The 12,765-nt window shown below is 49.9% G+C and overlaps 5 non-coding genes across 5 annotated transcripts, besides 7 other annotated features; 2 read left to right on the plus strand and 3 right to left on the minus strand.

Annotated features, from left to right (window-relative positions):
* Positions 12-523: an enhancer, noted in NCBI's record as "H3K4me1 hESC enhancer chr16:3225435-3225946 (GRCh37/hg19 assembly coordinates)". NCBI's record gives its function as "activates a minimal SCP1, AML or CMV promoter by ChIP-STARR-seq in naive H9 embryonic stem cells {active_cell/tissue: H9 hESC(naive)}" and the evidence as "EXISTENCE:reporter gene assay evidence [ECO:0000049][PMID:30033119]".
* Positions 237-336: a silencer, noted in NCBI's record as "silent region_7125". NCBI's record gives its function as "represses an Ori minimal core promoter by ATAC-STARR-seq in GM12878 lymphoblastoid cells {active_cell/tissue: GM12878}" and the evidence as "EXISTENCE:reporter gene assay evidence [ECO:0000049][PMID:35858748]".
* On the plus strand, positions 269-341 carry TRK-CTT2-5 (tRNA-Lys (anticodon CTT) 2-5). Its single transcript has one exon. It is a non-coding gene; the product is annotated as a tRNA-Lys (tRNA).
* Positions 447-496: an enhancer, noted in NCBI's record as "active region_10311". NCBI's record gives its function as "activates an Ori minimal core promoter by ATAC-STARR-seq in GM12878 lymphoblastoid cells {active_cell/tissue: GM12878}" and the evidence as "EXISTENCE:reporter gene assay evidence [ECO:0000049][PMID:35858748]".
* On the minus strand, positions 5,132-5,204 carry TRK-CTT5-1 (tRNA-Lys (anticodon CTT) 5-1). Its single transcript has one exon. It is a non-coding gene; the product is annotated as a tRNA-Lys (tRNA).
* Positions 7,034-7,143: an enhancer, noted in NCBI's record as "active region_10312". NCBI's record gives its function as "activates an Ori minimal core promoter by ATAC-STARR-seq in GM12878 lymphoblastoid cells {active_cell/tissue: GM12878}" and the evidence as "EXISTENCE:reporter gene assay evidence [ECO:0000049][PMID:35858748]".
* Positions 7,213-7,284, minus strand: TRP-AGG2-7 (tRNA-Pro (anticodon AGG) 2-7). Its single transcript has one exon. It is a non-coding gene; the product is annotated as a tRNA-Pro (tRNA).
* Positions 7,524-7,593: a silencer, noted in NCBI's record as "silent region_7126". NCBI's record gives its function as "represses an Ori minimal core promoter by ATAC-STARR-seq in GM12878 lymphoblastoid cells {active_cell/tissue: GM12878}" and the evidence as "EXISTENCE:reporter gene assay evidence [ECO:0000049][PMID:35858748]".
* Positions 7,714-7,973: an enhancer, noted in NCBI's record as "active region_10313". NCBI's record gives its function as "activates an Ori minimal core promoter by ATAC-STARR-seq in GM12878 lymphoblastoid cells {active_cell/tissue: GM12878}" and the evidence as "EXISTENCE:reporter gene assay evidence [ECO:0000049][PMID:35858748]".
* TRP-TGG3-4 (tRNA-Pro (anticodon TGG) 3-4) lies at positions 8,711-8,782 on the minus strand. The gene has a single exon. It is a non-coding gene; the product is annotated as a tRNA-Pro (tRNA).
* Positions 8,974-9,033: a silencer, noted in NCBI's record as "silent region_7127". NCBI's record gives its function as "represses an Ori minimal core promoter by ATAC-STARR-seq in GM12878 lymphoblastoid cells {active_cell/tissue: GM12878}" and the evidence as "EXISTENCE:reporter gene assay evidence [ECO:0000049][PMID:35858748]".
* TRP-TGG3-5 (tRNA-Pro (anticodon TGG) 3-5) lies at positions 12,672-12,743 on the plus strand. Its single transcript has one exon. It is a non-coding gene; the product is annotated as a tRNA-Pro (tRNA).
* Positions 12,744-12,765: the final 22 nt, after the last annotated feature.

Genomic DNA, 12,765 nt, shown 5'->3' on the forward strand with positions numbered 1-12,765 from the left:
CCTGAGTCGGGGCGGGTGCCAGGGCCAGTCACCCTGACACTCAGGAGGTGCCGGCCTGTGGGGCGTCCGCGGGTGGGCCTCTGACGCAGAGAAAGACCCAGATCCAGCTACCTCGGGGGCCTCCTGCTGCGCCTCGCCTTTGGGGCAGGCCTGAGGGCAACGCTTACTGCGGAGCAACTGTGTTCTACAGTGTAGTCCCGACACTGAAGACTCCTGGTCCTGGACTCTGCTGTAATCTAGAAATCCACTAAGGTAACGTTGGCGTGTCGCCCGGCTAGCTCAGTCGGTAGAGCATGAGACTCTTAATCTCAGGGTCGTGGGTTCGAGCCCCACGTTGGGCGATTCCTTTTTACTGCGAGCCTCACCCGCAAGGATAGCATTGTGAGTTTCTGTTCCAACTGGGTCAATTTTCTTCTCTCAGCCATCTGCCCCTGGCGATGCAAGATTTGGTGAAAGCAGATGCCTGCTCATCCCAGGAAACCATCCTGGAGTGGGGTTTCACTACTCCTGACCTCAGGTGATCTACCTGACTCAGCCTCCCAAAGTGCTGGGATTAAAGACGTGAGCCACCGCGCCTGCCCTGAATTTCCTCTTCTTGTAAGGACTCCAGTCATATTGGATTAAGGCCCATCCTAATAACCTCATTTTGTCTTAATTACCTCTTTAAATACCCAGTCTCCAAATACAGCCACATTCTGAGGGACTGAGAGTTAGAACTTCAACATATGGATGGTGGACAGTCACAACTCAGCTCATTAAAGTGAACATTGTGTACATGGTTTAGTATGAACATATGTCTTAAATTTCCTTGAGCATAGGAGTGGAATTCCACTTAGGAATGGAATTTTGGGGTCATTTGGTAGTTCTGTGTTTAACATTTTGAGGCTATTATTCACAGTGGCTGGATTATTTTATATTCCCACCAGCCTGACTGAGGGCTCGTGTCCTAGAAAAGTAGTAATAGATTTACATAGATATTTTGCATCAAAAAATATTTATTCTGAGATTATACTTAAAAACCAGGAAACAGGCTGGGCGCGGTGGCTCACGCCTGTAATCCCAGTACTTTGGGAAGTCAAGGTGGGTGGATCACGAGGTCGGGAGTTCGAGACCAGCCTGGCATGGTAAAACTTCGTCTGTACCAAAACCACAAAAATCAGCTGGGCGTGATGGTGCGCGCCTGTAGTCCCAGCTACTGGAGAGGCTGAGGCAGAAAAATCGCTTGAACCCGGAAGGTGAAGGTTGCAGTGAGCCGAGATCGCGCGCCACTGCACAGCAGCCTGGGCAACAGAGCGAGACTCCGTCTCAAAAAACAAAACAAAACACAACAAAAAACAAATGGAAACAATCTACTTGCCCCAAAATAGGGCATAGATTAAATGAAATTATCATAAATCCAAAATGGAGGATAATGTCATAAAAAATAATGTTATATAATGATGATCCCATGTGTGTAAAACTCTAGAAAATGCAAAATAATACAGTGACAGAAAGCAGAGAGTGACGGACTGCCAAAACTTACCAAATTGTACACTTTTTTTTTTTTTTAAATGGAGTCTCACTCTGTTGCCCAAGCTGGAGTGCAGTGGCGCGATCTCGGCTCACTGCAGCCTCTGCCTCCCAGGGTTAAGCGATTCTCCTGCCTCAGCCTCCCGTGTAGCTGGGAACAGGCACGTGCCATCACACCGAGCTACTTTTTGTATTTTTAGTAGAGACGAGGTTTCACCATGTTGGCCAGGCTGGTCTCCAACTTGTTAGATATGAGTTCCAAATTTCTTTTCAAAGATTCAATATGTCAGTATGTTCAATTCTTTACCTTCTACTTTTAAACTTAACTTCCTCATAAAGCAACCTTTTTCAATTACCTACTCCACCCTGACTCTTTCGATTACCTGCTCTGTAATAACCATTTTTCCCGCCAAACCATTCGCTCCGTCACTCTCTTTAAATTATCCAATGGCAATTAGTTTAGCCTGTGCGGTCTAACCCTAGCCAATAGGGGAATGACACAGCAGCAGGGGCCACGTGCGAAAGGGATAAGAACCCCTTCCCCTCCCTTGTCCAAGTGTGCTCTCACCATTGCTCCATCTGTAAGGGCGCACCCTTCTATAGAAGTACCTTGCCTTGCTGAGAATTAAAAACAAAATTTTATATTTTCGGGCTATTTCTTTTGCGGCACCGAAACTTTGTATATAACAAACTCCTGACCTCAAGTGATTCGCCCACCTCCGTCTCCTGAAGTGTTGGGATTACAGGTGTGAACCACCGTGCCGGGCCTACAACCGGCAATTCTTGATCCTTCACACCGACTCTCGCTGTCCTCCAAGATTTTTCCTCTTTACCTATAGAGTCTCCAGGACTCGATCCCCAATCCCTTGCAAGCCCTGCAGGGAAACTGGAGGGCACTGGCTTCCCCACCTTTACTCCCCACAGTTGCTCCTCAGGACCACAGGAACGGAAGGGACCAAGCCCCTAACCTAGAATGTTAGTGATTTTAGAAGGAAAAAACTTTGGGCTTATTCAGGACTAGAACCTGAGATCTCTTACGCCTTATGTGAAAAGCATGCCTGAATCAGGCTTGACGGCACATTCCTATAATCCCAGAACTTGGGTAGTCTGAGAAGGGAGGATTACTTGAGCCCAGGAGTTCAAGACCAGGCTGGGCAACCAAGAGGGACCCCATCTCTACTATTGCTACTGCTACTACAAAAAATAAATTGCCAAGAATTGTGGCTCAGCCTGTAGTCTCAGCTACCTGAGAGGCTGAAGTGGAAGGACTACTCGAGCCCAGAAGGTCGAGGCTACAGTAAGCTGTGACTGCATCACTGCACTCCAGCCTGGGTGACAAAGTGAGACTCTATCTCAAAATTTCAGAAAAAGCAAAATAGAAAAGCAGGCCTACTGATCAGTGCCTCTTTCTTTTCCTTCCTTCCTTCCTTCCTTCCTTCCTTCCTTCCTTCCTTCCTTTCTTGAAACGCAGTCTCGTTCTTGTCACCCAGGCTGGAGTGCAATGGCATGATCTTGCTTCACTGCAACCTCTGCCTCCTGGGTTCAAGCGATTCTCCTGCCTCAGCCTCCCAAGTAGCTGGTATTACAGGCGCCTGCCACCATGCCTGCCTAATTTTTGTATTTTTAGTGGAGACGGGGTTTCACCATGTTGCCCAGGCTGGTCTCGAACTCCTGATCTCAGACGATCCACCCACCTCGGCCTCCCAAAGTGCTGGGATTACAGCCTTGAGCCACTGTGCCCGGCCCAGTGCCACTTTCCTCAGTGGGCTCCAAGTGACCTTACAGCTTGACCTATCTCAGAAGGCCAGGTCTGGATTTTGAGTGGTGTTCCTTGCAGCAGCATTAAGGAGCACACCCGAGGAGTTGTGCCAATGTATTTTTCATTATAAACTATCCTAAATAGGCTGAGTGAGGTGGCTCACACCTGTAATCCCAGCGCTTTGGGAGACCAAGGCAGGCAGATCACCTGGAGGTCGAGAGTTTGCGACCAACCTGACCAACACGGAGAAACTGCATCTGTACTAAAAATACAAAATTAGCCGGGCGTGGTGGTGCATGCCTGTAATCCCAGCTACTTGGGAGGTGAAGGCAGGAAAATCGCTTCAACCCGGGAGGCGGAGGTTGTGGTGAGCCAGGAAGGTGCTATTGCACTCCAGCCTGGGCAACAAGAGCAAAACTCCATCTCAAAAAAAAAAAAAAAAAAAAAAAAACTATTCTGATAAACCGGCCGGGCGCGGTGGCTCTCGCCTGTAATCCCAGCACTTTAGGAGGCAGAGGCAGGCAGATCACCTGAGGCCAGGAGTTCGAGACCAGCCTGGCCAACATGGTGAAACCCCATGTCTACTAAAAACATACAAAAATTAGCCGGCCGTGGTGGCGCGTTCCTGCAATCATAGCTACTCAAGGGAGGCTGAGCAGGAGAATTCCTTGAACCCGGGAGGCAGAGGTTGCAGTGAGCGGATATCCCATCACCACACTCCAGCCTGCGTGACAGAGCGAGACTCATCTCAATCAGTAAATCAATCAGTCAATAAACCTCACTGCCCCAGGAATGCCGACACCAAGTCAAGCAGACCTTCTCTTCCCTGCCGTCCGCTTCCCTGACCTGCTGGGGTTGGGAGGGCACATTCTGTGGCAGGTTGACTGGGTTTCCATGTTTCCATCCCAGCTCCTCAATTTTGTCTGAAAATGCAATAATAAGAGTATAGTAGTGAAGATTAAACGAGTTTAGATAAGTAAAGAGCTTACAAGAGTGTTAGGCATGGTGAGCCTAATAAGCATTAGCTACGTCTACTGCTAATGTTGAACATCCTAATCTCTGCCCCCTGGGTCACCGTCACCAGCCTCACAACTCTGCAAGCAGGTACCAGCAGCACCACGCTGGCCGTACAAGCAGAGATCCAGTGAAATCTTGTATGCACCCAGAGGGTCCGGGTGGAGGGAGGTTGGGTAACTCAGGAGACCACAGCTGCTCCCTCCGGCTGCACTGGGCACTTCTGGGAGGATCCGGCACCCACCTCCCTGGGCTGGAGGCCTCTAATCAGAGAGGAAGGCAGGAAAGCCAGACACTGGGACTGTCAAACTAGTGAACATTGGGATCTCTATCCCCCTCTACTTGATGGGACCTGAGTCAAACTCTACCTGACATGACCCCCTGGGGATCAGCATCTGGGCAGTGTTGCTGGACAAGGGTGGAGCCAGGCATAAGGACGATGGGAGATAAGCAGAGAAAGGTTTTGTAGGTGGCTCCTTGTCCAGGCTATGATTGTTGCTTAGGGTACAAGAGAGTCCAATCCTGTACAAGCTAAGGTTCTCAGACTTTCTTCTGTTTTAATGAGGACAGCCCTGTTGGGATCCCAGAAAAGGAAAACCCTAGTGGGGGTCTTCCCCAGGGCCTCTGCTATCAAGGAGCGAGGAATTACTGTTCTCCTGGTCTTCCAGGTAGGAACCGCATCCATGGGGCAGGAGCCAGGATGGCTTTCTGGAATAAGCAGGGGAGGGCATAACCAGACATTGGTCACTTTAAATCTTCTGCTTGAGTTTCTTCTTTCACCAAGTCTTGCATTGCCAGGGGCAGAAAGCTGGGAGAAAAAGATGTACCTTCATGGTACAGCAAAAGGCACGCCCAACGTGCGGCTCGAACCCACGACCCTGAGATTAAGAGTCTCATGCTCTATCGACTGAGCTAGCCGGGCTTCCTTATAGGATCTTTTCCATATCTACAAATGGGCCGAGTGGCCTAAGGGTGGTGGAAACAAAGGGAGGTAATGAATCACCCCGGGAAACCAGGGCGCGCTTGGGGTCCCCCACAACAGACTCAGTTCGCCACCGACGTCCCCGCTAGTGCAGGATTTCCCTCACCACCCCGCAATCTCCCATAAATGGGGGTGACCTGCCAGAGTCTCCTTCGTCACCGCGCCGGCATATATCTGTGTTCTCCCAGTCCGTGCCCTCCTCTGAAAAGGCCTTCTTTCAGAAAGAGAAAAAACATTCTCAGACTGCGACTGCACGCACTTAAAGAGTCAATGACAACCTTGGCAACCCTTTTTTTTTTTTTTTTTTTTTTTTTGAGGCCACTTGAGTTACAGGGACAGGAGAGTTCTGCTGTGTATGGGCCATCCTTGCAGCTGCAGACAGAAAGCCCAAAGCTCACTGGGACTCACAGAAGCCCTCGCAGGTGCTGCTCCGCACTGTAACCTACTGTGGCGTGCATCTAGTTGTTCCCTTTCCATTACCGTGTGCTTCTATATCTAGAACTATTTGGTTCTTTTTTCAATCAAGAAGGTTGGAGGTCCTGATGTCAAAGATATTTTCTTTATTGCCTTTCATTTCTTTAGACACAGTAGGGACAGTTGTATTATAAGTCGGATACACTTTGCATCTGAAATATTTGCAATATTGTTTCTGTTCCTGTTAATGAGTTGTTGCTCCTGGTACCTTCTTTCCTTGTTAATTTTTAGGGTGCAATGTCCATTTTCCTTGCAAATTTCTTTGTGTAGGAAATTCTGTGAGATCTGGAATACAAATGTATTTGTCCACACACACACAAAATTATTGTTTGCTTCTGCAGGGGCTCAAGGGCATAACCAGACATTGGTCACTTTAAATCTGCTTGAGTTTCTTTCCACTTGGTCCTCAAGCGCTCAAAATTGGATTAGTCACGACTCTTGGTTCCCGGCATGTTCTCAAACCCAGCATCCCAAACAAAAAGGAAGACTCTGCCAATAGATTCTGTCCTCAGAGTAGATGTGAGGAGGCCCCAGTCCTGGTGGGCGCTGGGACTCAGGACGCAGATACCCGGGTTCCTGGGTTCAGTCTGTACCCCTTCCAGAACTAGGATAGGGGAGGAGAGGAGCCCCAGAAGGCTACACGCAGGTGAGGAGTGTCGGGATGTGGGGAGGGAGAGGACTCTAGACCCCAGATACAAACGCCCATAGCCCATCTCCTCTGCTCAAGTGCCCGGCTTTCTCTCCTTAAGGCTCTAGCCGCCGGAGCCAGGGACACTGGGTGGGAATCCCAGTGTAGAGCTTTTAAGGTGTCTGACAGTGAAGACTCGGCTCTTACTGTATATAGGAAGGACTTATCTCTTCTTCAGTGCCTCGAATGAATTCCTACTGACAAAAGTAGCTCATAAATAAAAATAATAATAAAAGCAGAAAACAAAAATAGCAAAATATCAAACAAAAATATTAGGGAATAGGGCTCTGACGACAGTGGTGAGAAAACTCCAAATAAATTTTAAATGTGGCAGTGGGTGGTGTCAGACAGCTTTAGATCTTTGTACAAATTAACTTCGAAGTCTGAGCGCGGTGGCTGACGCCTGTAATCCTAGCACTTTGGGAGGCCGAGGCGGGCTGATCACCTGAAGTAAGGAGTTGGAGACCAGCCTGGCCAACATGGCGAAACCCTGTCTCTACTAAAAAAAAAGTACAAAAATTAGCCAGACATGGTGGCACGTGCCTGTAGTCCCAGCTACCTGGGAGACTGAGGCAGGAGAATTGCTTGAACCCAGGAGGCGGAGGTTGCAGTGAGGTGAGATAGCACCACTGCACTCCAGCCGGGGCGACAGAGACTCTGTCTCAAAACAAACAAACAAACTAACTTCGAAGGACTCGGGCTGCGCTGACCTGTCAGAGCTGTCTGGATCTCTGATCTTCATCTAAAGTAGGAAAGGGTAGAAACCGATATTTTGGACCAAAAACCGGGCTCGTCCGGGATTTGAACCCGGGACCTCTCGCACCCTAAGCGAGAATCATACCCCTAGACCAACGAGCCACACGCCCCGTAGCCTCCGGCTTGTCTTTGTGGCCTTCGTGGAGTCCTCGTGGCCAGAGGTGGGGACCCAGCAGAGCAGAGCTAGGAGGAGACTCCGATTTCCTGAAGTCTGGAAGAGACAAGTTCAAGCGCGGGTGGACGCGGAGGGAGCCCTGAGCCCCCGCTTCTCCCTGCGCCGCACAAAATGGGGAGCATCCCCTGTGCCCCCACAATCCGGGGCCCCCCGGGCCCTCGCCCGCCTCCGCCTCTCAGCCCTGGGCTGGGGATCCGCGCGTCACGCCGCGTCGCGTAGTGAGGAGCTCCAGCTCCGGCGGGACATGGGAACCTCTCAAGAGCTGGCAGCGGCTGCGCGGAGGGTCCGCGAACCGCGACCACTGGACGCCCGCCTTGGAAACGCTGCAGCCCGGCGGCGTGGTGCAGATGGGTGGTCAGTAGAGGCCTCGCCAGTGCACCAGGAACCAGCCACCAGGCCCCCTACCTCGACGCGCCCCACGCTTCTCCCGCTCCGGTCCTCTCTTCTCCCCCAGGGAAGCCAAAACCCAGAAGGTGAGCTTCCCACGTGGAACCTCAATTCAAGAGGCTGACACTGAGCGTCGCTTCGCTCCACCAGACCCGCGGCGCCCGCCGGAGTCAGCGATGTACCCCCTTCCCTTTCACTGGGGGAACTGGCGGAACCTCCGGTCACCAGGACGTGGGGAAGCAGAGGCCGCTTGGGGCAGCAGAGGCCGCGTCCAGGTGTCGGTTCCGGGGCACCTTTTACTGTCACTCTGTCCTTCTCTGTGTCCAAATTTCACCCGGAGCCCGAGAATTCGGCAGGTCTGGACTGAAAACGTCTCCCCATCCCCTCCGGATCCAAGCCTCGAATTTCCTGGCTCAGTGGGAAGGCCTCGGGGTCTGGGCGTGGAGACGGGGCCCGAGACCCCCACCCCGCCAGGGCCCACTAAAGTGCTGCCAGCTGAGCCCCGGCCTTCGCCCCTCCTTCGTCTCTCCCTCATTCCCCTCCCTCTGACACCCCGCCACATACATTACTCCCCGCAATACCATGCAATTTTAAGCTAGGGTAGGGCTCACCTGAGACTGGAGCCGCCATACCGTCGAACCCTACGAAAAATTTATGCCCGTAAATAAACAAGCCCGGCGCATTCTTCCTTATTCTAAATAACTTCTTCCTGCTGCACGGGGTCGTCTCCTTTAACCACGGCTACCGCAGTTGGTAGTGCTGGATCCCATTTCAGGGTGATGGGATGCTGGATCCCATTTCAGGGTGATAGGACCGACCGCAAGGCGAACGATTCAGGCCCGTCCGTCTGCGTCCCGGGACCCCGGGAGGTCTCCACTGACGCCCTGCCAGCAGCAGGCTCCCTCCGCCTTCCTAGTCTCCTGTCCTTGCTGAAAATGCGAAATGGGAAAAAAGAGAAGGAAAAGGGGGCTCGTCCGGGATTTGAACCCGGGACCTCTCGCACCCAAAGCGAGAATCATACCCCTAGACCAACGAGCCGCCGCTTCCCCTCTGTTTTGTTGTTGTTGTTGTTGTTTTTTGACACGTCCTTCCGCCCCTGACGCAGAGCGAGACTCTCTCCATCGCCCCAATAGCTCAGTCCTTAGCGCGCGCACCTGCGAATCTGGGCTTTTGGGTTCGCGGCCACCCTCAGATTTGCGAGGCAGGCTTTACTGCTGCTGGATAAACCAACCAGGTTATCCGTTGAGGTTATGAGCTGGTGGTTTCAATGTCGTCCTGATATGAAATATAAGTGCATTTGCCTATCACTAAGGTAAAAGGATTTCCAGGCAGGATAGTGATGTCAGAAATCACAAAGGAAATGTACAGATTTTACCCAAGTTTTTAAAACGGCAAATGACAATCCAAAGAAAATACAATCTGAATGACAAATCAAGGGCTTATTACCGGGCTTCATAGTTTTGTTTTGTTTTGTTTTGTTTTGAGACACAGTTTCGCTCTTGTTGCCCAGGCTGGAGTGCAGTGGCACAATCTCGGCTCACTGCAACCTCCGCCTCCTGGGTTCAAGCAATTCTCCTGCCTCAGCCTCCCGAGTAGCTGGAACTACAGGCTTGAGTCACCACGCCCAGCTGATTTTTGTATTTTTAGTAGAGACGGGGGTCTCACCATGTTGGCCAGGCTGGTTTTGAACTCCTGACCTCAAGTGATCTACCCACCTCGGCCTCCCAAAGTGCTGGGATTACAGGTGTGAGTTTGAGACCAGCCTGGGCAACATAGTGAGACCTCGTTCGTACAAAAAAATAAAAATAAAAAAATTAGTCGACAAGACATGGCGGCTCACTACTGTAATCCCAGCACTTTGGGAGGCCGAGGTGGGCAGATAACCTGAGGTCAGGAGTTCCAGAGCAGCCTGGCCAATATGGTGAAACCCCATCTCTACAAAAATATGAAAATCAGCCAGACCTGGTGGCAAACAGCTGTAATCCCAGCTACTCAGGAGACTGAGGCAGGAGAATTGCTTGAACCTGAGAGGCGGAGGTTGCAGTGAGCCAAGATCATGCCACTGCATTCCAGCCTAGGCGACAGAGCAAAACTCCGTCTCAAAAAAAAAAAAAAAAAAAAAAAGTTAGTTGAGTGTGGTGGCAATCACCCATAGTCCCAGCTACTCAGGAGGCTGAAGTAGGAGGATCTCTTGAGCCCTGGAGGTGGAGGCTTGCAGTGAGCCATGTTCATGCCACTGTCCTCCAGCCTGGGTAACAAACCCTGTCTCAAAATTATAATAATAATAATAATTTGGATCTTGGATAGAGGCATACACAAAGGGAAGATGGTATGAAGGCCCAGGGAGAAGATGGCTGTCCCCAAGCCAAGGAAGGAGGTCTCAGCACCAACCAACCCTGCCCATACTTAGTCTCAGACTCCAGCCTCCAGAATAGTGAGAAAATAAATTTCTGTTATTTCATCCACTCAGCCTATGGTACTGTTATGGCGACCCTAGCAAACTAATACAGTATTATTCAATAATACTAAATATTATTCTGTCATAATTAGGAATGAATTATTGACATATGCAACAAGGATGAACCTTGAATACATTATGTTAAGTGAGAGAAGCCAGACATGAAAGACTGCTATTGTATAATTCCATTTATATCAAATGTAGAGAACAGGCAAATGCGTGGAGACAGAAAGCATACTAGTGGTTGCCAGAAGATTGGAGGAGGGAGGAACAGGGAGGACTGCTAATGGGTACTGCATCTGTTTTGGGCTGATGAAAACATTCTAGAACTAGATAGTAGTGACTGTTGCACAATCACATGAATATATAAAAACCACTCAATTACACACTTTAGTGAATTTTATGGTATGTGTAGTATATCTCAATTATCAATATACTGAGTCAAAGCATATGCCAAAATTGGAGAATTCAGACATATAGCTATTCCCCACTGGCTTCTGTGGTAAGGCTATGAGATAAACTAGGCCTAGAATGGAATTGATGCAGCGGGCAGTTCAGAAAGTGGGGAAAGAAACTTTGCTAGTGAGGTGAGTGGTTTTTCATGTTTATTGGCCATCTGTGTGTGTGTGTGTATGTGTGTGTGTGTTTGCTTTCCTTTTTCTGTGAATTACCTGTTGGTGTGCAAAGACAGCTGTTTACGTGGTTCTCTAGCCAGACTTTCCAGGGCACTTCCTGGCTGTGTGAACTTGAACTAATTCCTTAACCTTTCCAGGGCTCCAGTTGTGTCATCTGTAGACATGAAGATAATGGTGTACTCCTCGTGCATCTGCTGAAAACAACATGAGGCTGGGTGCAATGGCTCACGCCTGTAATCCCAGCACTTTGGGAGGCTGAGGCAGGCGGATCACCTGAGGTCAGGAGTTTGACACCAGCCTGACCAAAACAGAGAAACCCCGTCTCTACTAAAAATACAACAATTAGCCTGGCATGGTGGCACACGCCTGTAATCCCAACTACTTGGGAGGCTGAGGCAGGAGAATCTCTTGAACCCAGGAGGCAGAGGTTGCGGTGAGCCAAGATCACCCCATTGCACTCCAGCCCGGGGAAAAAGAGCAAAACTCCGTCTCAAAAAAAGAAAGAAAGAAAACAGCATGAGTTAGTTCATGGAAACCAGCAGAGTCTAGTCCCTATTCAGTAACTGACGAGAATGAGCAGTTGGACTCTATTCTGTTTCCTTTTTTTTTTTCTTTCTTTCTTTTTTTTTAGACAGGGTCTCACCCTGTCAGGCTGAAGGGCAGTGGCGCAGTCTGGGCTCACTCTAAACTCCATCTCCCGGGTTCAAGCGATTCTCGTGCCTCAGCTTCCTGAGTAGCTGGGACTACAGGCACGCGCCACCATACCAGGCTGATTTTTGTATTTTTAGTAGAGACAGCGGTCTGGCATGTTGGCCAGGCTGGTTTCGCATTCCTGGCTTCAAGTGATCACCCGCCTTGGCCTCCCAAAGTGCTGGGAATACCGGCGGGAGGTACCGCGCCCAGCCTCCTTCACTTTTCTGTGACTTCCAGAGCAGACAATACATAAGACACCGGGAGAGATGCCTGCAGGTGAGTAGACAGGGTTCTCCTTGGCTTCCTTTGAGTCTCAAGGAAGTCACTGAAGCAGCGGGCCCAGCTGCCTTTTACGCCTCACGCCAGCCTCCAGACACACCCATTGCACCATGTACTGCTACTTGGCAAACTTTGTCACGGAAATCCAATGTTTCCAGTTTCTGGGTCCCGAAACTCTTCCCATGCAAGCTCTAGGACAATCTCTTTTTCTCCAGTCTCCACTTCAAGGCTCAGTTGTTTTCCACCTATGGCCCTTAGGGCCAGCCCGAGGCTACACTTGCCAGCCAGAGAGGCTGCGGCAAGCAGCGTTTATGCTCCATAGTCCCAGGTGAGGAAGACGAAGCCTTTTTTGTCATAGATCTTCATTTCTTTTCTTAAATGTCTTTTAAAAATATGCCTATGTAATTTTTTAAAGGATTCGAAATCTATGTAGCCCAGTAATAAGCCCTTAGTTTGTAACTTCGATTGTATTTTCTTTGGATTATCATTTGCCGTTTTAAAACCTTGGATAAAATCTGTGTATTTCCTTTATGATTTCTGACATCTCTATCCTGCCTGGAAATCCTTTTACCTTAGTAATAGGCAAATGCACCTATATATCATACCAGCACGACATTGAAACCACCAGCTCATAACCTCAGCGGGTAACCTTGTTGGTTTACCCAGCAGGAGTAAAGCCTGCCTCGGAAATCTGAGGGTGGCCGCGAACCCACAAGTCAAGATTCGCAGGTGCGCGCGCTAAGGACTGAGCTATTGGGGCGATGGAGAGAGTCTCGCTCTGCGTCAGGGACGGAAGGACGTGTCCCCCACCAGAAAAAGGAAAAAAAAAAAAAAAAAAAGAAAAAAGAAAAAAGGAAGCGGCGGCTCGTTGGTCTAGGGGTATGATTCTCGCTTTGGGTGCGAGAGGTCCCGGGTTCAAATCCCGGACGAGCCCCCTTTTCCTTCTCTTTTTTCCC

This window comes from Homo sapiens, chromosome 16 (genome assembly GCF_000001405.40).
Source record: "Homo sapiens chromosome 16, GRCh38.p14 Primary Assembly".
NCBI classification, from domain to species: Eukaryota; Metazoa; Chordata; class Mammalia; order Primates; family Hominidae; genus Homo; species Homo sapiens.